At 48.8% G+C, this 21490-nt stretch overlaps 1 protein-coding gene across 15 annotated transcripts in view, besides 5 other annotated features; it reads left to right on the plus strand.

Annotated features, from left to right (window-relative positions):
- ACTR3B (actin related protein 3B) overlaps positions 1 to 9338 on the plus strand; it is a 95627-nt gene extending 86289 nt beyond the window's left edge. For 12 of the 15 annotated variants that reach the window (NR_146947.2, NR_146951.2, NR_146950.2 and 9 more), the window contains 3 exons: positions 6086 to 6211; positions 7454 to 7537; positions 8418 to 9338. Coding sequence is in view for 9 of the 15 variants with exons in the window: in NM_001350942.2 (NP_001337871.1) it covers positions 6086 to 6211; positions 7454 to 7537; positions 8418 to 8513 (306 nt within the window). In the remaining 6 variants the exon portion in view is untranslated. The remainder of the gene's footprint in view (positions 1 to 6085; positions 6212 to 7453; positions 7538 to 8417) is intronic. The other 3 variants (NM_001040135.3, NM_001350946.2, NM_001350944.2) reach the window with 2 other exon arrangements.
- Positions 80 to 667: an enhancer, noted in NCBI's record as "H3K4me1 hESC enhancer chr7:152543205-152543792 (GRCh37/hg19 assembly coordinates)". NCBI's record gives its function as "activates a minimal SCP1, AML or CMV promoter by ChIP-STARR-seq in primed H9 embryonic stem cells {active_cell/tissue: H9 hESC(primed)}" and the evidence as "EXISTENCE:reporter gene assay evidence [ECO:0000049][PMID:30033119]".
- Positions 668 to 1255: an enhancer, noted in NCBI's record as "H3K4me1 hESC enhancer chr7:152543793-152544380 (GRCh37/hg19 assembly coordinates)". NCBI's record gives its function as "activates a minimal SCP1, AML or CMV promoter by ChIP-STARR-seq in primed H9 embryonic stem cells {active_cell/tissue: H9 hESC(primed)}" and the evidence as "EXISTENCE:reporter gene assay evidence [ECO:0000049][PMID:30033119]".
- Positions 4269 to 5468: an enhancer, noted in NCBI's record as "BRD4-independent group 4 enhancer chr7:152547394-152548593 (GRCh37/hg19 assembly coordinates)". NCBI's record gives its function as "activates an origin of replication core promoter dependent on BRD2, P300/CBP, MED14 and CDK7 cofactors, and independent of BRD4, by STARR-seq in HCT116 cells {active_cell/tissue: HCT116}" and the evidence as "EXISTENCE:reporter gene assay evidence [ECO:0000049][PMID:35650434]".
- Positions 4269 to 5819: a biological region, named in NCBI's record as "BRD4-independent group 4 enhancer GRCh37_chr7:152547394-152548593".
- Positions 4954 to 5819: an enhancer, noted in NCBI's record as "H3K4me1 hESC enhancer chr7:152548079-152548944 (GRCh37/hg19 assembly coordinates)". NCBI's record gives its function as "activates a minimal SCP1, AML or CMV promoter by ChIP-STARR-seq in naive H9 embryonic stem cells {active_cell/tissue: H9 hESC(naive)}" and the evidence as "EXISTENCE:reporter gene assay evidence [ECO:0000049][PMID:30033119]".
- Positions 9339 to 21490: the final 12152 nt, after the last annotated feature.

A 21490-nucleotide genomic window follows, 5' to 3' on the forward strand; every position in this document is an offset into this window, starting at 1 on the left:
ACATTTCTGAACTTTTAGGAATCTCTAGGTTGGGGAGGTTGAGACATCTTCAAGCATCCCAGTGAGCCCCAGCGCCTGGGCTGCAGTCTGCAGTGAGCTCTAGTGCCCGGGCTGTAGTCTGCAGTGAGCTCTAGTGCCCGGGCTGTAGTCTGTAGTGAGCCCCAGCGCCCGGGGCTGTAGTCTGCAGTGAGCTCTAGTGCCCGGGCTGTAGTCTGTAGTGAGCCCCAGCGCCCGGGCTGCAGTCTGTAGTGAGCTCTAGTGCCTGGGCTGCAGTCTGCAGTGAGCTCTAGTGCCCGGGCTGTAGTCTGCAGTGAGCTCTAGTGCCCGGGCTGTAGTCTGTAGTGAGCCCTAGTGCCCGGGGCTGTAGTCTGCAGTGAGCTCTAGTGTCCGGGCTGTAGTGTGTAGTGAGCTCTAGTGCCCGGGCTGTAGTCTGTAGTGAGCCCTAGTGCCCGGGCTGTAGTCTGTAGTGAGCTCTAGTGCCGGGCTGTAGTGTGTAGTGAGCCCCAGCGCCCGGGCTGCAGTCTGTAGTGAGCTCTAGTGCCTGGGCTGTAGTCTGCAGTGAGCCCCAGCGCCCGGGCTGCAGTCTGTAGTGAGCCCCAGCGCCCGGGCTGCAGTCTGTAGTGAGCTCTAGTGCCCGGGCTGTAGTCTGCAGTGAGCCCCAGCACCCGGGCTGTAGTCTGCAGTGAGTTCTAGCGCCCGGGGCTGTAGTCTGCAGTGAGCTCTAGTGCCCGGGGCTGTAGTCTGTAGTGAGCTCTAGTGCCTGGGCTGTAGTCTGCAGTGAGCCCCAGTGTCTGGGCTGTAGTCTGCAGTGAGCTCTAGTGCCTGGGCTGCAGTCTGTAGTGAGCCCCAGCGCCCGGGCTGTAGTCTGCAGTGAGCTCTAGTGCCCGGGCTGTAGTCTGTAGTGAGCTCTAGTGCCTGGGCTGTAGTCTGCAGTGAGCCCCAGTGTCCGGGCTGCAGTCTGCAGTGAGCTCTAGTGCCCGGGCTGTAGTCTGCAGTGAGCTCTAGTGCCCGGGCTGTAGTCTGCAGTGAGCCCCAGTGTCCGGGCTGTAGTCTGCAGTGAGCCCCAGTGTCCGGGCTGTAGTCTGTAGTGAGCTCTAGTGCCCGGGGCTGCAGTCTGTAGTGAGCTCTAGTGCCCGGGCTGTAGTCTGTAGTGAGCCCCAGTGTCCGGGCTGTAGTCTGCAGTGAGCTCTAGTGCCCGGGGCTGCAGTCCGCTCCGCAGGGCTCACCGTGATGTTTTCTTCGCGTCTGTAGCTCAGTGTCTTTAACACAGCAACTGCCTGCTGAATGCAGTGGGATGTTTGCTGCCCATCACAGGGATGTTTAGGCTGTTGAAGTTTGTCCTTCAATTACTGAAGGAAGAAAGGAATTCAAAATGAGAACCCAGCATCCTTTCATAAACTCGTTGAACAATTAACTGTATTTTGCCTGAAGATCAGGCAGCTGGGCTTCAGCTCTCCTATTTGTCTGTCCTTAGAAACCCACACCCCTGCCCCCTCCTGCCTGCTTGCCTTTTAGTGTGGAAAATTTGAAACAGGCAGGAAAGTATATCCAATATACACGGATGAAGTAGCTGAAGGAATCTGGGTGAGGAGAAGTCAGGGCGGCAGAAGAGCGCAGCAGGGTCAGATGAGGACAGAGCCCGTGCACACAGTTCTGTGGTCGCACCTAGCTGTGGGAGAGGCCCCTCGTGGCTCTGAGCTGCTCAGCAGACACAGGGCCCCTGGGACATATGATTAAGGCCAGTGGGTTTTCCGAAGAGGCCCAGCTTTTTCTGACACTGAGACCTGAGAGAAATTTCTTCTTTAGACCCTCACTAGGAATACCTCCTTCACCCATCCCTACAGTGGATAATGATGCGCGTTTCTTCCCGCCGTGTCTTCTAATGGCTCGCGGTGCAAGTTCAGAGGGTGAACAGTCTTGTGAGTGAATACTGAAGGAATGCTGAGCAGACAGGGAGCACTCCCCTGGGACTTTTGGATCCAGTGATAGAATTTAGGAGACTTAGAGGTGTGAATGGACTATGTACCTCTCAGATTATCCTTCAGAATAACAATAGCTCAGAACGTGGAGATGAGGCAGCAGGTGTGCCCACGGTGCTGTGTTGGCCATTGGGTGTTACAGTAAGAAGCAGACCCGCGTCTTCGACAGTCGTCTTGGGAAGGATGAGCTCACCAAGTCTGGGGTGACAGTCAGGGAACCTGGCCCTGTGGCCCCTCTCCTACACTGCGGTGGGCCAAGGGACAGCTCTCAGACACCCCAGGCTTCCTTGGGGCACTGTTTGGGATCCCCTGACATATGGGCTGTTAGGAGACCAAGGCTGCAGCATTCCCTGCCAGAGAGCGAGGCTGGAGGAATCTTAGCCTGGAAAAGTTTTAAAGGAGTTGTCTGTGGTGGGCTTTAAAAAAGCAAATGAAAAACAATAGCAAAAGAACAAAAAAACAAACCCCAAAACCTCAGCAAAAGCGCCCTTAGAAATGTCTAATTCCAAGCACTGACCCATCCTTGTTCTTCCCCAGTCCTCACTTAATTCTTAATTGGATATAAGCCAGGGTCTGTCTCTCCAGAATATCATCGGCCAGCGTGGCCAATCATGAGAGAGCAGGACCAGGGGTCAGTTGAGGCTTATTCTAAGATGAGATGATCAAAATACCAACATGCTTTTAAGTTATGATTCTTGATATTATGGTAACTAGGTATGCAGTGTGTCTGAAAGAGTCACCAGGCCACAAGACCCATCTGAAGGAAGCCAGGGATCAGAATATAACCCTGTTTACGTGATTTCCAGCTGCCACCCCCCCGTAGCTGCAGCTGTGGTTGATGGTCCCTAGACTCTGACAGGAGCCAGGCGCTCTCAGGTTGGTCATGAGAGATTTCTCCACAGGGTCACAGAGGACAACAGTGATTATTCATGATGCTGATCCTGGGGCAGGATGTTGGCTTGAAAACTAGACTTAAAATGGGTCAAGAAGGCAGGTGCCCAGTGACCTCATGGTCTCCCTGTGGCGAGGGGCGTCAGGGGGCTGCCTCTCGAGAAATGGACGTGACAGCGGTTTCCTTGGTTGGCCACGCCGACAGAGTTTTGAGAAAGCAAACAAGTACATAGCAGTGAAACCCCCAGATGAGGACAGACTGCAGAGTTCTCAGGGCAGAAGACCATTGCCAGGTATTTTATTCAGTGTGTTCATGATCAGATAGTCCCCGTAAGGCATGGGTACCCTTTAGGGGGTCTGCTATGCTCAGGGCTGTTCCCTGTGAGTAGAAGTGTGGGGCCGACACCAAGGAACGGGGTGGGGTGGGGGTTCCGGAGGATCGCTTCACTGCTGCAGAGAGCCCTGAAGGGTGGCCTCAGAACCGCCCTGGTTCCCAGCCCTGAAGGCCAAGCCCAGATCCTCCCTTAACAATATATTAGCCTTGACCTTGAAGCTGATAACAAAATATTGTGGCACAGTTTTGTGAGGCTCTGTCCCTGGCCAAGCCACTGTAGAAGGTTTAGCCCAGGGGTGTCCAACCTTTTGGTGTCCCTGGGCCAGAAACTCTTGGGCCACACATAAAATACACTAGCACTAATGACAGTTGACAAGCTAATAAAAAGGTCCTGTGCATAATGTTTTTGGTATTCACCACTGTGGATAAGCAAAACACTTGTTGCAGTGAAAGGGTTGGACATGGCTTCTTTAGCCCCTGACAGTCTTTCACCTTAGCAACTGGAGCAGCTACAGCATGTTACATGATTTATCTAACATCTGCTGCTGGCAGGTAATCAGAGGTGAAATTTCTCTATACAGACACTCGGTAGAATTGGAGCAGATCCCAGGTGGAAGACGAGGTCACTGGTGGCTTCTCCAGGTGAAAGGCCAGATCCCTGGTGGCTTCTCCAGGTGGAAGACCAGGTCACTGGTGGCACTCCCAGGTGGAAGGCCAGATCACTGGTCACTTCTCCAGGTGGAAGGCCAGCTTCTTCAGGTGGAAGGCCAGATCACTGGTCGCTTCTCCAGGTGGAAGGCCAGCTTCTCCAGGTAGAAGGTCAGATCACTGGTGGCTTCTCCAGGTAGAAGGTCAGATCACTGGTCACTTCTCCAGGTAGAAGGCCAGATCTCTGGTCACTTCTCCAGGTGGAAGGCCAGCTTCTCCAGGTGGAAGACCAGATCACTGGTGGCTTCTCCAGGTAGAAGTTCAGATCACTGGTGGCTTCTCCAGATAGAAGTTCAGATCACTGGTGGCTTCTCCAGGTAGAAGTTCAGATCACTGGTGGCTTCTCCAGGTAGAAGGCCAGATCACTGGTCACTTCTCCAGGTGGAAGGCCAGCTTCTCCAGGTGGAAGGCCAGATCACTGGTGGCTTCTCCAGGTAGAAGTTCAGATCACTGGTGGCTTCTCCAGGTAGGAGGCCAGATCACTGGTGGCTTCTCCAGGTAGAAGGCCAGATCACTGGTCACTTCTCCAGGTAGAAGGCCAGATCACTGTGGCTTCCCCAAATGGAAGGCCGGATCACTGGTGGCTTCCTGTGGCTTCTGCCCCGTTTCATTCTTCCTGCTCTGACTTCACCATCTCTAATCCTGAGTCCACGTGGGTGCTGTCACAGCAGTTCTAGGAGCTGGCATGAGAGAAAAATGATCCCTTTGTAGTCAGTCCTGGCTGTCTTTCCCCAGAACAGCAGTAAGCAGGAACAGACTACTCTCATATCATATAACTTAGAACCTGGGTTGCTAGGGACAGAAAAGTGCATTTTTTTTTCCGTGCTGATTCCCTGTGACTTCTGCTTACCTGTAAACTTGTTGAGGGACTCACTGTTCACACACTCAGAGCTGACTGGGAGGAGTGCCTGAAAGCAGAGAGCTCTGTAGTTGCTCAGGAACTCGGGAAGAGCTAACATATTTAGAGGGTCTTAAAGGAAATAGGGCTTTTTGACTCCTTGAAGGATTAATTTCCTTATGTAGTTTTCACATAAGGTGTTTTCTCTAAGAAAGTTCAATCAGGAGATACACTAGTCCCCCTTGTCAGTGAGGATATGATTCAAGACCTCCAGTGGGTGCCTGAAACTGCAAATAGTACCGAATCCTATATATACTGTGTTTTTTCTTGTACATACATACCTATGATAAAGTTTAATTTAGAAATTAGGCACAGTAAGAGACTTCTGAACAGCAGTAACTACTAAAGTAGAATAATTATTGTAACAATATACTGTAGGAAAAGTTATATAAATGTGGTCTCTCTCTGTCTGTCTAAAAATACCTTTCTGTACCATACTCACCCTTCCTCATCTTGTGAGGGTGTGAGATGATGCAGTGCCCCATGGTGAGAGGGCGAGAGGTGAGTGACGTAGGTGAGGCCACTGTGGCCTCTGACATACATCAGAAGAGGACCAGCTGCTCGGGTGACCTGGGCCGTCAAACCATGAGGATGTCAGTGGCTGCAGGTCAGGAGCTGACGGTATGGATGACTGACAGGTGGGCAGGGTTGACAACGCGGAGATGCTGGACAGAGGGCTGGTTCGGGTTCTGGGCAGGCGGAGCGGGACAGGCGAGTGCTTCCCCTTCCTCAGCCCCCCACCGAGCTTCTGGGGTGGCCACCGAGCGAGTCTTGGCCCTGGAGGGCAGTGCTGGCTGGGTGGCTCATCTGAGAATGTTCCTTCCGGTAACTTGGATGCTTTCTTCCCAAGATTGTCCTTCTGAGAAGCTTCAAGCACCCATTAGAAGACTTTCCCCCAGTGATGGTTAAGGCGGACCAGGGGAGAGCTGGTGTTATTTTGGCTCAAGTCAGCTGGACAGTTTCTGTTGTTTGTTTTGGCTTCCTGGTCTATGTGAGGGGTTGGCAGGGGGAGCATGAGGGAGCAGGATCGCCTTGTTTTTGCTTTGCTGTAATTGAGGAAAGGATTAAGGAGCCATCTGTGGCACATTGTTGTCTCCATAAAAAAAAAATCTACACTTTTCCAATAGCATTAAGTTTGCTTTTGTTCGCATCTTTCATAGGGCCGATGTGTCGTGCCCACAAGCGATTGGACCTGTGGGAGTTCTGTTGTGGGTGGTTCCCGGAACTGTGGGCGGGCGGTTTTACCCAGGGCTCCCTCTGCTTTGTGTCTTGTAGAATGTCGTACTCTCAGGAGGCTCCACCATGTTCAGGGATTTCGGACGCCGACTGCAGAGGGATTTGAAGAGAGTGGTGGATGCTAGGCTGAGGCTCAGCGAGGAGCTCAGCGGCGGGAGGATCAAGGTAGGAGCCAGAGGCCTCCACGCAGTGCCTGGGGCTATTGCCCCAGGCCTGACCGGGGCCCTCCTGACACAGAGCCGAAGGAGCTTGTCTGGGCCGCGTAAAATAAAAACAAGTGTTCATCGCTTTCTGAGCTGCATTGTGACATGACCATGGAGGTTTGCTGCCTGAGGTCCTTCCAGGCTGGTAGTTCAGACTGATGGTCCTGGTGACACAGCAACGGCAGCTTCACACTCTCCCTGGCCATGCCTGCCAGCAGTTTCCTTTTGTGTCGTAAGAGATCAGGCATGGGGTATAATGACCAGTGTCCCAAGGAGATGGGACTAATTTATGGTGAGGATCTTTCATGTCCTTCGGAAATGTTCTCATTAAATGAAAATAACTAATGTTAGCAGGGAGTTACAAGGCGTTCCTCCAAGATAGTAATTCTTAAGTAGCTGGTGATCACTGTGGGCTTCTAACCAAGAGTGGGCTTCGATAGGGGCAGTGGGCGCAAGGAAGAGATCCCACGAGTCCACTGTTGGAAGAGCACAGTTTCTTTTCTTTTTTTTCTTTTTTCTTGAGACAGAGTCTCTCTCTGTCGCCCAGGCTGGAGTGCAGTGGTGAGATCTCGGCTCATAGCAAGCTCTGCCTCCTGGGTTCACACCATTCTCCTGCCTCAGCCTATTGAGTAGCTGGGACTACAGGTGCCCGCCACCAAGCCCGGCTAATTTTTTGTATTTTTAGTAGAGATGGGGTTTCACCGTGTTAGCCAGGATGGTCTCGATCTCCTGACCTTGTGATCCATGCGCCTCGGCCTCCCAAAGTGCTGGGATTACAGGTGCGAGCTACCACGCCCGGCCAGAAAAGCACAGTTTCTTTTATTATTTTGAGGATGGTTAATCTTATTTGGGATGATCTCTACAGTGCCAGAACATCTGATATGTTAGGTTAAAAAAAAAAAAGCAGTGGGGTTAATTGCTTGGATTTTGTGCTTTTGAACTTTAGCGCTTTGAGCCTTGTGAGAGGGAGGTGCTGCTTGCCGGGTGCACTGTGTTCCTTTGAGCGCTGGGGGCTGGGATTCTGGTAGGTCTTAGGGGGATTTGGCAGCAGGGGCGGAGAGTCACTGAGTGCTGGGTGTGAGGTGGTGCTCGTGCCATAAGAGGAGGGCGGCCCTGGGTGCAGCTGTGGTCTCGTCAGCCGGGGGATGATTAGATCACATGTGTCTGTGGGTGTGGGGTAAGTGAGAGCTGCTTTCTCTTCCAGCCGAAGCCTGTGGAGGTCCAGGTGGTCACGCATCACATGCAGCGCTACGCCGTGTGGTTCGGAGGCTCCATGCTGGCCTCGACTGTAAGTCCCTCTCTCGAGGGCTCTGTGTCTCCATTCCTGTGCTCTCGGTTGAGTTTGGGTAAATACTGTCTACGAAGGTGAAATAGTGTGTGCCCTAATCGTGTGGCTCTAAACAGACCATTCTGTAAGATATAAATTATATCTTTTTTGTTTTTTCGAGATGGAGTCTCACTCTGTCGCCCAGGCTGGAGTTTAATGGTGCGATCTCAGCTCACTGCAACCTCCGCCTCCCGGGTTTAAGCAATTCTCCAGCCTCAGCCTCCTGAGTAGCTGGGACTACAGGCGTTCACCACCATGCCCGGCTCATTTTTTTTTGTTGTATTTTTAGTAAAGATGGGGTTTTGCTGTGTTGGCCAGGCTGGTCTCAAACTCCTGACCTCAGGTGATCCACCCCCCTGCCTTGGCCTCGCAAAGTGCTGCAATTACAGGTGTGAGCCTCTGTGCCCGGCCCGATATAAACTATATCTTAATAATCACACAACACATTTATCACGTGTCCTTGCTAATTAGGGGTTACAGAAAACATGGTAAGTGGCATCCAAAAATAATCTAAAAAAGTCCTGCATTAATCATTAATTCCAGTGACTTTTCCAAATAATTATTACTTTTCCCCCTCACATTTGTGAATAGCTCACACATTGTTAGTGGGGGACCGGCATTTGGTTGGTCCTAAGAAGATACAGGCTGATGAAATTTCTAAAAAGTGAAATAACTCCCCATTTAGTAGTTTAGTACATCAGAGAGGTAAAATCTTGCAGCAGCGGTCCTGGGAGGGAGGGTGGAGGCCGGGATGAGGAGAGTGTCTTGCCTGCTTGGTAGCTGGTTCCCTTGACTTTCTTCTGAAATGAGTGTCTTTCTGTCTGCCTGTTGCCTCTCGTAGCCCGAGTTCTTTCAGGTCTGCCACACCAAGAAGGACTATGAAGAGTACGGGCCCAGCATCTGCCGCCACAACCCCGTCTTTGGAGTCATGTCCTAGTGTCTGCCTGAACGCGTCGTTCGATGGTGTCACGTTGGGGAACAAGTGTCCTTCAGAACCCAGAGAAGGCCGCCGTTCTGTAAATAGCGACGTCGGTGTTGCTGCCCAGCAGCGTGCTTGCATTGCCGGTGCATGAGGCGCGGCGCGGGCCCTTCAGTAAAAGCCATTTATCCGTGTGCCGACCGCTGTCTGCCAGCCTCCTCCTTCTCCCGCCCTCCTCACCCTCGCTCTCCCTCCTCCTCCTCCTCCGAGCTGCTAGCTGACAAATACAATTCTGAAGGAATCCAAATGTGACTTTGAAAATTGTTAGAGAAAACAACATTAGAAAATGGCGCAAAATCGTTAGGTCCCAGGAGAGAATGTGGGGGCGCAAACCCTTTTCCTCCCAGCCTATTTTTGTAAATAAAATGTTTAAACTTGAAATACAAATCGATGTTTATATTTCCTATCATTTTGTATTTTATGGTATTTGGTACAACTGGCTGATACTAAGCACGAATAGATATTGATGTTATGGAGTGCTGTAATCCAAAGTTTTTAATTGTGAGGCATGTTCTGATATGTTTATAGGCAAACAAATAAAACAGCAAACTTTTTTGCCACATGTTTGCTAGAAAATGATTATACTTTATTGGAGTGACATGAAGTTTGAACACTAAACAGTAATGTATGAGAATTACTACAGATACATGTATCTTTTAGTTTTTTTTGTTTGAACTTTCTGGAGCTGTTTTATAGAAGATGATGGTTTGTTGTCGGTGAGTGTTGGATGAAATACTTCCTTGCACCATTGTAATAAAAGCTGTTAGAATATTTGTAAATATCTTTCTGCTGTAGTGTGGTGGTCTGTTGGTTTTCTCCCTGTCGCTGTGCCTCCTTTAAAGAATATTGACATTGTTTTACATCATTGGAGAATTTGATTAATACTCAGCTTGTGGGAGGAAATGTCTTTTCGCGAATGGTGTGGGCTGCCTGCCCCGCAGTGACCACTCCATCGCTGGGGGTATCGTGGGTCTGGATAACCCGTCAGAGATGGTTTTTGAATCTGGGGTATAGTGGGAAGGAGTGCCTAATGATTTCTGATGTTCCTTCCTAGAAGTTCAGGATTCATGACTGTAAGCTTTCAGTAACTACTCTGATGTTTGCTGAATGGACTGCTAGCTTGAAAGGTAATTTGCTCAATTAATAGATTTAGGTTGATTTCACTCTTCATATTATTCTTATAATTATGTTACTTTAAAAATTGTTATTTATGGTATTTCTTCTAAGTTGTGAAGTATGTTTTTTTTTTGTTCTGTTTTAAAATTTTTTCCTTAGTTTCACTCTCAAAGGAGGTGAATGAAATATGTTTTGTTCTCAGAAAATTTGCCTTCATAAAGAAACGTAGCCAGGTGCAGTGGTGTGCGCCTGAAGTCCCAGCTCCTCAGAAGGCTGAGGCAGGAGGATCACTTGAGTCCAGGAGGTCAAGGCTGCAGTAAGCTAGGATTGAGCCACTGTATTGCAGCCTGGGTGACAGAGTGAGACTCCATGTCTTAAATAAAACAAAAACAAGAAAAAAAAAGTTATGTTATTATTTGAGTTTAGAAATAAGTTTAATATTGAACTCAGTATGGTGAAATCTGAGTTTACCAACCTCAGTTGACCGAATCTCTGATACTGTCACTGTGCTAGGCCCTCAGTCTCCCCAGTCAAGAGTCTGGTACCACCTGGTTCTCCCCTCATCCGTAGTGTTTCTCTGCATTCCCTTGGGGGATTTGCTGCTTCTCGGGATTGCTGTACCGTTGGCTTCTCATGATCTTCCAGCCATTTTATTGCATCAAGTTCCCGGTTGGTCTGCCTGCCTTCAGTCACACCTTTGCACCCTGAACGTGGCAGCGAGAGCCGTTCCTTCTAACGCCATTTTCCTCTTAGTTCTGTGCTATTCAGGGACCTACCTGATACTCCCATCTCCACCCTGCCCCGCCCGATTCAGCATGCTTTGCACATCTCACAGTGGGCACCGTCATTCCCACCTCTGCTCTGCATCTGTGCGTTGGCAGGTGCTTTGTTGCGCCTTCTCCAAACCCTGGGAATAACACCACTCTGTATGTCAGTGCTGTGGCAGCCTGGCTAAGCTAGAGCTGTATGAGCTGTCCTTCCACCACAGGATACCCAAAGCTTCCCTGTGCCTTCTTTGGTACAAGATTAGCTTTGAGATTGTACTTCTGTTTGTCAACTTAAAGAACTGTGGGAGAATATATATATATATATTTTTTTTTTAAATTTTTTTTTTAAGATGGAGTTTTGCTCTTGTCCCCCAGGCTGGAGTGCAATGGCGCAATCTTGGCTCACCACAACCTCTGCCTCCCGGGTTCAAGCGATTCTCCTGCCTCAGCCTCCTAAGTAGCTGGGATTACAGGCGTGCACCACCATGCCCGGCTAATTTTGTATTTTTAGTAGAGATGAAGTTTCTCCATGTTGGTCAGGCTGGTCTCAAACTCCCCACCTCGGGTGATCTGCCCGCCTTGGCCTACCAAAGTGCTGGGATTACAGGCGTGAGCCACCGTGCCAGGCCGAGAACATTTTGTTTTAAACCTACATTGACAGGACAGAATGATCCATTACAATGTGACAGGTATGATGCTGTGGTTCTCAACCCTGGGCAAGACCCATCCCAAATTAAGAGAATCAGAATAGGAGCCCCAGGGAAGGCATCCAATTTTTGCTTTTTGTTTTTAAACTCCTTAGGCAATGCCAGCGTAGCTGGATCTGAAAGGCTTATGAGCAGAAGGAAGGGTTTTTGACTCAAAAAGATCTGAATACCAATTCTGGCTGTTCCTCAAGCAAATGAGATCCTATTTTCTGTTTGCTCATCTGTGGGAGAATTGTAATGGTCCTTTTCCTGTTAATAGAGGTGAGTTATCATTTTTTGTTTATTCAGTGAGCCTGGCAGATACTATAGATAGAAATGAACTGTGATGGTCATGTGCACCCGTCATTTTATAAGGAAGAAAAATGTTTACAGTTAGTAAATTTGATAAAATCTGCACATACCTTTTGTTCAGGTTGAATGAGTTAGATCATAATATAGAAATGAGTTAAGTATTCCTAGAGTTGATGGGTAAAATCGACCTCCTATGACAAAACTACAACTCCAGGTGAGCAGTTTTCTGTAAAAAATATTTCATCAAATACACTCGTTAAATTCTAAAATTATAAGTCTACAGTCTTTAGGACTATTAAACCTTTTAATAGTGCAGGAGCCAGGTGTGGTGGTGAGTACCTGTAGTCTCAGCTACTGGGTAGGTGGAGGTGGTAGAATCCATTGAGCCCGGGAGCTCAAGGCTGCAGGAGCCAGGGTCATGCCACACACTCCAGCCTGGGCAACAGAGTGAGACCTTCTTAAAAAGTGCAGGAAGTTGCTTTGCCCTATTCAACAGATTTAGACATAAACTCAGCTTTACGATGGTGAGAATATGATACGAACGGCCTTAACTTAAAAAAAAAATCTGGCAACTAGTATGTGAATATTTAACAAACATTACCTTTCTAAGATGATATGACCGCTGGCTCAGAGTTGCTCTTTCCAACACACCTGAGGAAACAGCCTCTCACTTCTTTGCGGATATTCATCAGCTGTTCCTGAGGGTTTAACTTCTGTTTCGTGAACTTTTAAGCCAAGATTAGACTAAGTAACATGAAGCTTATGAGTTTGTTTCTGCATATGGTGAGGGTTGGGGAAAAAATGAGAGAAAAGACTCCTGAAGTGGGGTCTGTAGAAGAGGAGCCAATCAGGGCTGCTGAGGACGGGGGAGGTGACCGCATCGCTTACAGAGGGAGGAAGGGTAAACGCAGAAGGCACCTGGTGCTTGCGTTGACCAACTGCAGGTGGGTGGGGGACTCTCTCTGATTGAGTTTCCATTTCCATGTAGCCTAAATTGAGGAGGGAAGAAGGCGAGGCTTTCTTAGGGGTTGGGGTTTGGGTTTTGCCAGGCAAATGTGATGATGGGTGGGGCAGGTGTCCTGGGGGCAGGCAGGTGTAGACGGGGTTTCTCTGCTGCTAACATGAGGGACCACGGACTCCAGGTAGGGTGGGAGCAGAGGGAGATGAGAGATTGGGAGGAATGGAGGCGTCTGAGGACTGGCGGCCCTGGGCTTCAAGGTTAGGAGGTTGTGGTCCTGAAGAACGATACTGATTAAGATTTCAGAGGTGGAGCACCTCTCAGTGATAACAGGGTCATGGAAGTGGTGATTGTGTAGAGTTTAAATTCACTGGAAATGGAAGAATGTAGGGAATTTTGAGAGAAGGGCATTGGATAGGTTGTCTGGTGGGTGCTGGCTCACGCAGGACGCTGTGGGGGTGGAGATGAAAGTAAGACTGGTCCAGCTGCCTGAAGTCGTGCCTCAGTCTCGGGGGTGGCAAGGAGCTGAGCATTGACCGTGAGCTGGGCACTGCGCCGAGAGTCACCCCACGTTGGGAGTGATGCTGTGTAGCCTCCTTTCACCTGAACCGAACCCTATGAAGTTGGTATTGCTACTCCCATTTTCCAGACAGGAAACCTGTGGCTGAAAGAAATTCAACAACATGCCAAAACCACACAGCCAGGACACCGAGAAGTCATATTGAATCTATTTTCTCCAGTCTTGTAGAAGTAGGTCATAGCAACTGGTGAGAGACCGGGTGGTAAAACCCAGTGATAGGAATCTGCAGCATGACTTCATCAGATAGTAGAGTAGAAAGAGTTTGGAAATGGCCATGGGGAGCTGGAAATCCCCCTCGAATCCAGATCCCTTGGTATGTAACGTGTTCCAGGAAGCTACTGATGCGGGATGTTTAGATGTAAAATTATTTTCATTTTTGTTCACAGCGCTTTGTTAATACATGTCTTATCAGGTGCACTGGCTTTATGTTACAAGGCAAATACAAGATGGTTGTTAATCTGAGTGCTTAGAACCATAATTAGCCCCTAGTAAGTGTTCAATAAATTCTAGCCATTATTATTATTCTGTTACAAAGCAGTTGCTGTGTCTTAAGAGCTCTACTTATCAAAATTGTGTTTAAAAAATTTTCAGCATAGGAAAAGGGAATTTTAGATTCATGAACTGTATTGCCTTTAGGAATTCCATTAAGAAAGGGTTAGAAAAAAGATACTAGTATGTAGTTGTAGAATGCAGACTCACGGGGCTTTTCTTACCACTGTAGCTGATATGATTGAATCACTTTTATCGTCCATCTAAGGAAAAGGAAGCCACTTGGAGCCCTGGGTTGCCTGCATGGCAGCTGTCTCCCCACTAGGCTCCAGACCAAGTCATCCCATCTGAGCCACATGAGGATGTCTCTGTTTTGGGCTGTGCATGTTCCATAGCCTTGCCACTTGGGGGCAGTATGGTGGAAGGTGCCCTGAGTGGCCCCCCTGGAGGTGTTTGTTCCCTTCCCTGGAGTGCTCTTGCCTGTCCGGGATGTTCACCCTCCTCTGCTGCTGCCCCTCTGTGTGTAGAAGACAGCCCCTCCTTTACCAATGCACCAATGACACCTGTGTCCCTCGCTGGACTGACGTCCTGGAACATGGGGGCCGTATGGTGCTTATCTTGGGAACCCCCGAGGCCTTCACAAGGTCTGGTAGGTGCCCCGTAGACACTTAACTAAGCTCCTATCCGACAAGAAGAAGGCATCACTGGTTTTCCTGGGCTGCGTGTGCTCTGGTGCTGAGACACATTGTGTGTCTGGATAACTGTAGGACGGTGAGCACCCAGGATGTAGCTATCGTTACCTTAAGAGTTTAATGGTATCATAAAATCTAACTCTTGGGCATGGACTTCAGGAGGGTTTTGGGAACCTGAAGAGTAGAGGATCAAGCTTGTCTAAGGCTGCCGCCTGCCTGCGTCTGCTGTGCCGCCAGCCAGAGGCCGGTGGAGCAATCACCCTGCAGAATCCTTGAAGATGTGCCTGTGTTTTATGGCAGTCGTAGCTCATTCCACAGCTTTACTCATATGAATAATGAGCTCTCGTGTGACTGAAGTGCAGATCGTTCGGTGATTAATTCGTTCTTTATGATCCCTCCTTTATATCTCATTTGTAGAAATTACGATTGTGCCAGACAGGCTTGTGGGGTTAATCAAGTGCAAAGCTTATTGAAAACCACAAGAGAGGCCCATTAAGAATATTTATCTATTAAATAATTCTTTACTTAATTGAATAATATTTCATAATGTTTCTTTTAAAAGTATCTGTCACCCTTGTTAAATAGAAATATAACTTGATTGGCAAAATAATTGCATGGGGTTCTAATTGGCAATTACTTCAATTTCACTTGGTCAGACAGAAATAAATCTTTTTAAAAAGAGGAAAAGAAACTATAGCTTGATCTTAGTATCACTGTGAAAGTTTTTTTTTTTTTTAGTTTTAAAATATTAGCTCCTTTTACCCTATATTGGTTTCTTAAAAGTAAGCCGTGGCTCATTCTCTGCAGGTTGACTTCTCAGCTTTGATTTTTTCATTTTTAGTTTTGACTGCCGTGGATTATTTTTTCTGTGTGCGTGTGTATGTGTGTATAATCATATATGTATATAGTTGTTAATGTCATATTGTTGCTAGGAATTTCAAGTTTTTAAATGTTTTAATCAGTAAGAAAGAACACAGCTTTAAATTATTAAAAAAATAATTATAAACCTAAGGGTTTATGATGTCAAGCAAAATTTGTTTGTTTATTGAGACGAGGTCTTGCTCTGTCGCCCAGGCTGGAGTGTGGTGGTGTGATCATGGCTCATTGTAGCCTCAATCTCCTGGGCCCAAGCGATTCTCCTGCCACAGACTTCGGAGTAGCTGGGACTACAGGCCCAAACCACGATGCCCGGCTAATTTATTTTTTGTAGAGATGGGGTCTTGCTATGTTGCCCAGGTTGGCCTCAAACTCCTGGCCTCAAGTGATCCTCCCACCACAGTCTCCCAAAGTGTTGGGATTACAGGTGTGAGCCACTATGCCTGGCCTGCAAAATTTAAATGGTAGGACATTGGCTGTATTTCTAATATTTAGGGGTCAGATGTACGTTGGCCTTGAGTCATCTTTTTTCTGCTTCTCATTTGTGACTGGCAATAGTGACCATATGATGAGGTGTTTTTGACGTAGTGAGCTGTATGCCATTTTTATAATTGTATTGCAGGAGCTTGGGGGCTTGAGCAGAGAGTGGGGCACCCAGAATCTTGAGTGCAGGCCCTGGCATTGCCATTGGCTGGTCCTCCGTTTTTGCTCACGTCAGTCATTCCGTCTCTGTCTCTTTCCTTCCCTTCACCCAGTGAGACGATGGTAACAAGCAGTAGTGGAGTTCATGGTCCCAGGATCCCACATTTCTGAGCCACTCAGAATGAGAATGTGGTAGAAAGATGAGCTGTGAGGGGCGACTGAGGAAGCTGATGTGAGGGGCTGGACGTGTGGATGTGGAACTGCGGCCACGGCACAGTTCCGGGGCCTTCCATGCACGGAAGGAAAAGCCGTCAGTTATCGAACGCCTGCTCAGCTCTGGGTCGCCTGTTTACCAAGTGCTCGTCGGAGGACACAGTCCTGATGATGTGGAGCTTCCATCCCAGCAGAAGAGAGGGACGTGCGTGGGTTCCAGAGTCATGCTATATCATCACAAACCACAAAGGCCCGTGAGAGGAAGTACAGGGTGCCAGGAAACTCACAGCAGGCCCGGAATGGGGTATGAGCGACGGGTGCGAAGGAGGCGCCGAGGGGAGGTGGAGCTGAGAGCTGCAGGGGACTGGAGGCCGCCAGGCCACGAGGTGGAGGGGCAGCAGTGCAGGAAGAGGCATATATTATTAGGTTGATGGAAAAGTCATTGTGGTTTTTGCAATTATATTTAATGGCAAAACCCGCAATTACTTTTGCACCAGCCTAACAGCTTAAAATGGCTGTTTCTGTAGGTCAGATATAGCAAAATGTCAGCAACGTCTAGTGAGTCACTAAGACAAATGCCTGGAGCAGAAGGAAGCCTGCCTGGCTTTTTAAGAAAGAAGGCCGAGTGTGCGGGATGTTCAAGAAAAGAGGTGAAGTTGTCCACATGGGGCTGGCTATGCATTTTGGTCCTTATCCTAAGAACAAAGTCCTGGGACACATGAAAAGATTTTTTTTTTTTTTGAGACGGAGTCTCGCTCTGTCGCCCAGGCTGGAGTGCAGTGGCGCAATCTCAGCTCACTGCAAGCTCTGCCTGCCGGGTTCCCGCCATTCTCCTGCCTCAGCCCTCCGACTAGCTGGGTCTACAGGCCACCACGCCCGGCTAATTTTTTGTATTTTTAGTAGAGACGGGGTTTCACTGTGTTAGCCAGGAAGGTCTTGATCTCCTGACCTCGTGATCCGCCCGCCCCGGCCTCCAAAGTACTGGGATTACAGGTGTGAGCCACTGTGCCCGGCCATGAAAAGATTTTTAACGGAAGAGTGGGTGCCTGGATATGTGCTGCATAGACACACCTAGAAGGTTTGCCCGAGAGGTGGAGCTTTTCTCTAGAGTCATGGAGCAGACCTGGAGGAGGAGAGGTGAGGTGGGCTGCACAGGCTGTATGGGAATGCTGCTCTTGTGTGAGACAGTCTCGCTCTGTCACCCAGGCTGGTGCAGTGGCGTGACCTCGGTTCCCTGCAACCTCTGCCTCCAGGGTTCAAGAGATTCTTTTGCCTCAGGCTGCCGAGTAGCTGGAACTACAGGCACATGCCACCATGCCCGGCTAATTTTTTATTTTTTATTTTTAGTAGAGACAGGGTTTCACCATGTTGGTCAGGCTGGTCTCAAACTCCTGACCTCAAATGATCCACCTGCCTCGGCCTCCCACAGTGCTGGGATTACAGGCATGAGCCACTGTGCCTGGCCTGCTCTTGTGCTTTCTAACGGCAGCTCCAGAAAGATGGCCTCAGCAAACAGGTCGTATGGTTTGGTAGATACAGCACGGGAGCCATGGAGGAACTGTGTGTCTCCTTCTGGGCAGTTAATAAAGGATGTGAGAAGGGACTCCAGAATCAGAAGGGTAACATACTACAACCTTTAGCTGAAGGAGGGGAATGAGCTTTTTGAGGTTTAGTGTAACAAAATATGTAGCTAGTGGATGTGGCTCGATTTTAGTTTTAAAATGTAAAGTACCAATAAGATCATTTCTCTTGCTAGATTTAGAAGTAGTTTGTCTTCTCTCCCACCCGCAACTCTGCTTTATTTCTTTTGTAGGAAAAAAGCTTCTGTGATTTGTCCAGAACAGGGGTATTTGAGAACTATTAAAGAAGAACTTAGGATATAGCCCAGCATAGAGAAAGAGCTAGACACATAGATACTAATTAGGAATATGCTGGCGGCCGGGCGCGGTGGCTCAAGCCTGTAATCCCAGCACTTTGGGAGGCCGAGACGGGCGGATCACGAGGTCAGGAGATCGAGACCATCCTGGCTAACACGGTGAAACCCCGTCTCTACTAAAAATACAAAAATTAGCCGAGCATGGTGGCGCGCACCTGTAGTCCCAGCTACACGGGAGGCTGAGGCAGGAGAATGGCGTGAACCTGGGAGGCGGAGCTTGCAGTGAGTCGAGATCGCGCCACTGCACTCCAGCCTGGGCGACAGAGCGAAACTCCGTCTCAAAAAAAAAAAAAAAAAAGGAATATGCTGGCTGGAGAAGTAACTTTGTGGGCTCTAAAGGTGCAAATGACTGATATTTTTCACTGACATCTTTTATCTTAATTAGGTTGGTATACTGCACGGGCATTTCTGATTATGCAATCATTTTCTTGAGCTGAATTAGCATGTTTTACATATTTATTCATTAGGTCTTATGTCCATGATAAATTAAACTTTATGGGTAATCAAAACATTATTGCATGATATAATTACAGCTCTCCTGAATTAGAGTTTAAGAATGTGATTGCCACACTCTACGTAACTTAATGTCCCCTAATGGCATAGATTAATAGCATTATAAACTTTCTGGTCATGTGCAGTTCAGGTCCGGGTTGATTTACAGTCAGGTGACTTTTAAAGAGCTGACAGCCCTTGTGCTGAGATTTTATGAACAGCATCGTTTCCCGGGGGAGTGTCCTCTGTAATTTAGTGCTAATCACTAAACCACTAGTAATCATGTGTGTACTAAGTTTATTGTGCCAGTACTCTGAGAAGTTGTATATTTGTGACAGAGTAAAGTAGGTGCTTGAGTTCCCTTGGAAGTGAAATAACAGTAATGTTGATAGGGCTTAGTAACCACACCCAGGGACAGATTTTCAGTTTTTTTTCCCTTTTCTTAAAAATAAAACAAATGATGCATTCACACAAAGAGGTATGCATCTTGAGTGTTTATATATAATTTAATTTAAACTCTACCATTACAGCAGATTGCTCTGGGAAGCCTTGGGCTGTGAACACTGGAATTGCACCTGCTCCATCCTTACCCCCCGGTGATGTGCGTGGCCAGTTTGAATGGACCAGGAACTGGACTTGGTGTCCATTTTCCCCAGTATTAGAGATGGGTTTGTGGGGATGACAGAATTACAGACCGCTAGACTGACAAGTTCACTTCTCCCCACCCTCCCCTTTTACCAGGAGGCGATGACTTGTGATGAGAAAGGGCTGATGGGATTAGAATCCAGTCTGTGTCCATAAGACACAGTCAAGTCCACTGTTACACAGGAGTCAAACCGGTGACCTTGTGGAGGGGAACAACACCGATTACTCGGTCCTGGCCCGGGGGACCATGGCTTCCTATGGAGCAGCCGCTCCTGCCTTCCCTTGGTACAGCAGAGATGTGAAAATCTAGCTCCAAGTCAGATGTGTTTAGGAAACTTTGGGCTAACAAAGGGAAACATTTGTTTCCTCGAGGCTGTGAGAGCTGTCATTAATGTGCTGAGCTGCACTGTGTCCTGAGCAGGAGCCTGCGGGGACTTGGCACAGAGCCTTGGTGCGTCCCACTGCACCTCCAGACCAGACCTCAGAGTCGGGGCCACTGCACCTCCAGACCAGACCTCAGAGTCGGGGCCACTGCACCTCCAGACCAGATCGCAGAGTCGGGGCCACTGCACCTCCAGACCAGACCTCAGGATCGGGGCCACTGCACCTCCAGACCAGATCGCAGAGTCGGGGCCACCGCACCTCCAGACCAGACCGCAGGGTTGGGGCCACCGCACCTCCAGACCAGATCACAGAGTCGGGGCCACTGCACCTCCAGACCAGACCGCAGGGTCGGGGCCACCGCACCTCCAGACCAGAACTCAGAGTCGGTGCTACCGCAGAGTCAGGGCCACTGCATCTCCAGACCAGATCGCAGAGTCAGGGAGCCATCGTATGGGGCTCCCCATGAAGCGCTGCCTTCAGATGGGGCATCTGTGGAGGGACTTGTGTAAGTGGACTGTGTTTAGTGAGAGAGAGAAGCTGGTTTCTAAAAAGGATTTTTTTGTTTTACTTTGGAATATTTTACTGTGGACCAAGGAGAAATGATTATTGTGCTTTTGATGGTCAGTGATACATAAGGAGAATTGAAGTTACAGAGGGTGTTTTGGTACCTAGCAGAAAGATTATAATTAACAAAATGGACTGTTTGGCATTTCTTTTTGTTATTTTTCATTTCTTTTTTATGCTCATACTCATCATCTAAGATAACAGAGAAATTCAATCTACTACTCTCTTCAGAATGCACTTAAGCAGCCTCTTTTAGAAAAGGATATAATTTCCATCTACTGGAATTCCATTTCAAATATAAACAAGACACCCCGGAGGGAAAGGAGTTACAGATGCTGGTGATTCTGACAGCATTAACCAATGGGAGTTGGTAAGTGTGGCTGTGATCACTGTGACGTCAGATTTTCCTTCCCTTCCCTGTTTCTTTTTCTTTCTTTTTTTTTTTTTTGAGACATGGCCTTTCTGTCATCCAGGCTGGAGTGCAGTGGTGCAATCTCAGCTCACTGCAATCTCTGCCTCCCAAGTTCAAGCGTCTCCTGCTTCAGCCTCCCGAGTAGCTGAAATTACAGATGCCCACCACCACACGCGGCTATTTTGTATTTATAGTAGAGACAGGGTTTCACCACGTTGGCCAGGCTGGTCACGAACTCCTGACCTCAAGTGATCCACCTGCCTCGGCCTCCCAAAGTGCTGGGATTACAGGCATGAGCCACCGTGCCCGGCCTCCCTTCCCTTTTTCTCCCCCCCCACATCCTGTTTTCCTTCCCCTTCCCCTTCCTGTTTCCCTTCTCTCTTCGTGGTCTCCCTGTGCTGCCCAGGTTGCTCTCGAACTCAAGTGATTCTCCCGCCTCAGCCTCATAAGTAGCTGGTGCACACGGCTGTGCCCAGCTGAAGTGTCCACTGCTTAGGGAAAACAAACTCCTTCCGTGCATATGATAAAAGTAGATACATTGTGGTATCCGGACTCACCTCTTGTGAGTAGTGGGCATCGTGTTTGTGGACAGAGTTTCTCCGTGTCGTGGCCATTTCGATTCGGAACTCGGGTGACCGCTGCTGTTCCCAGCCTCCTGGGCCGCTGCTTTACTGCGGTGGGGACTCTGGTGGTCTTGCTGCCCCCCCTGGCTATTTTGCTTCATGGCAGCACCTCTTCAGAGAAAGCAGAGGAAAATTAACAATGAAAACGGCTTTCCTTTTAGTTCTGGGAAAAATAATCTGTCATAAAGAAGATAAAACATGGTTGTGTGGGAATAAATGAACGCCGGCCCCGTGAGCGCAGGCAGAGGCTGTTCCCTCCAAGCCCGCTCTGCAAGGGCCTGGGCGCCGTCCTGCCCGCGTGGCGAAGGCTCCTGGGGGCACGGGAGCAGGAGGCATCATGGAGAAGAGGGAAGCTCCGGGGTGCCGAGGGGGTGCTGTAGGCACGCGGAGCTGTAGGCCGGCTCGCCACAGTCAGGCCCTTGTGTGATGGGTCAGGAGAGCACCGTTCTCTGATGGGTCCGAAATTGAAAGCGGTGGCTAAAAGGAGGGCAGCGGGAAGACACCGATCAAGTCCTGAGCATTTGGGGCCGATTGCTGCAGAGGTCACA

Source organism: Homo sapiens, chromosome 7, assembly GCF_000001405.40.
Source record: "Homo sapiens chromosome 7, GRCh38.p14 Primary Assembly".
Taxonomy (NCBI): Eukaryota; Metazoa; Chordata; class Mammalia; order Primates; family Hominidae; genus Homo; species Homo sapiens.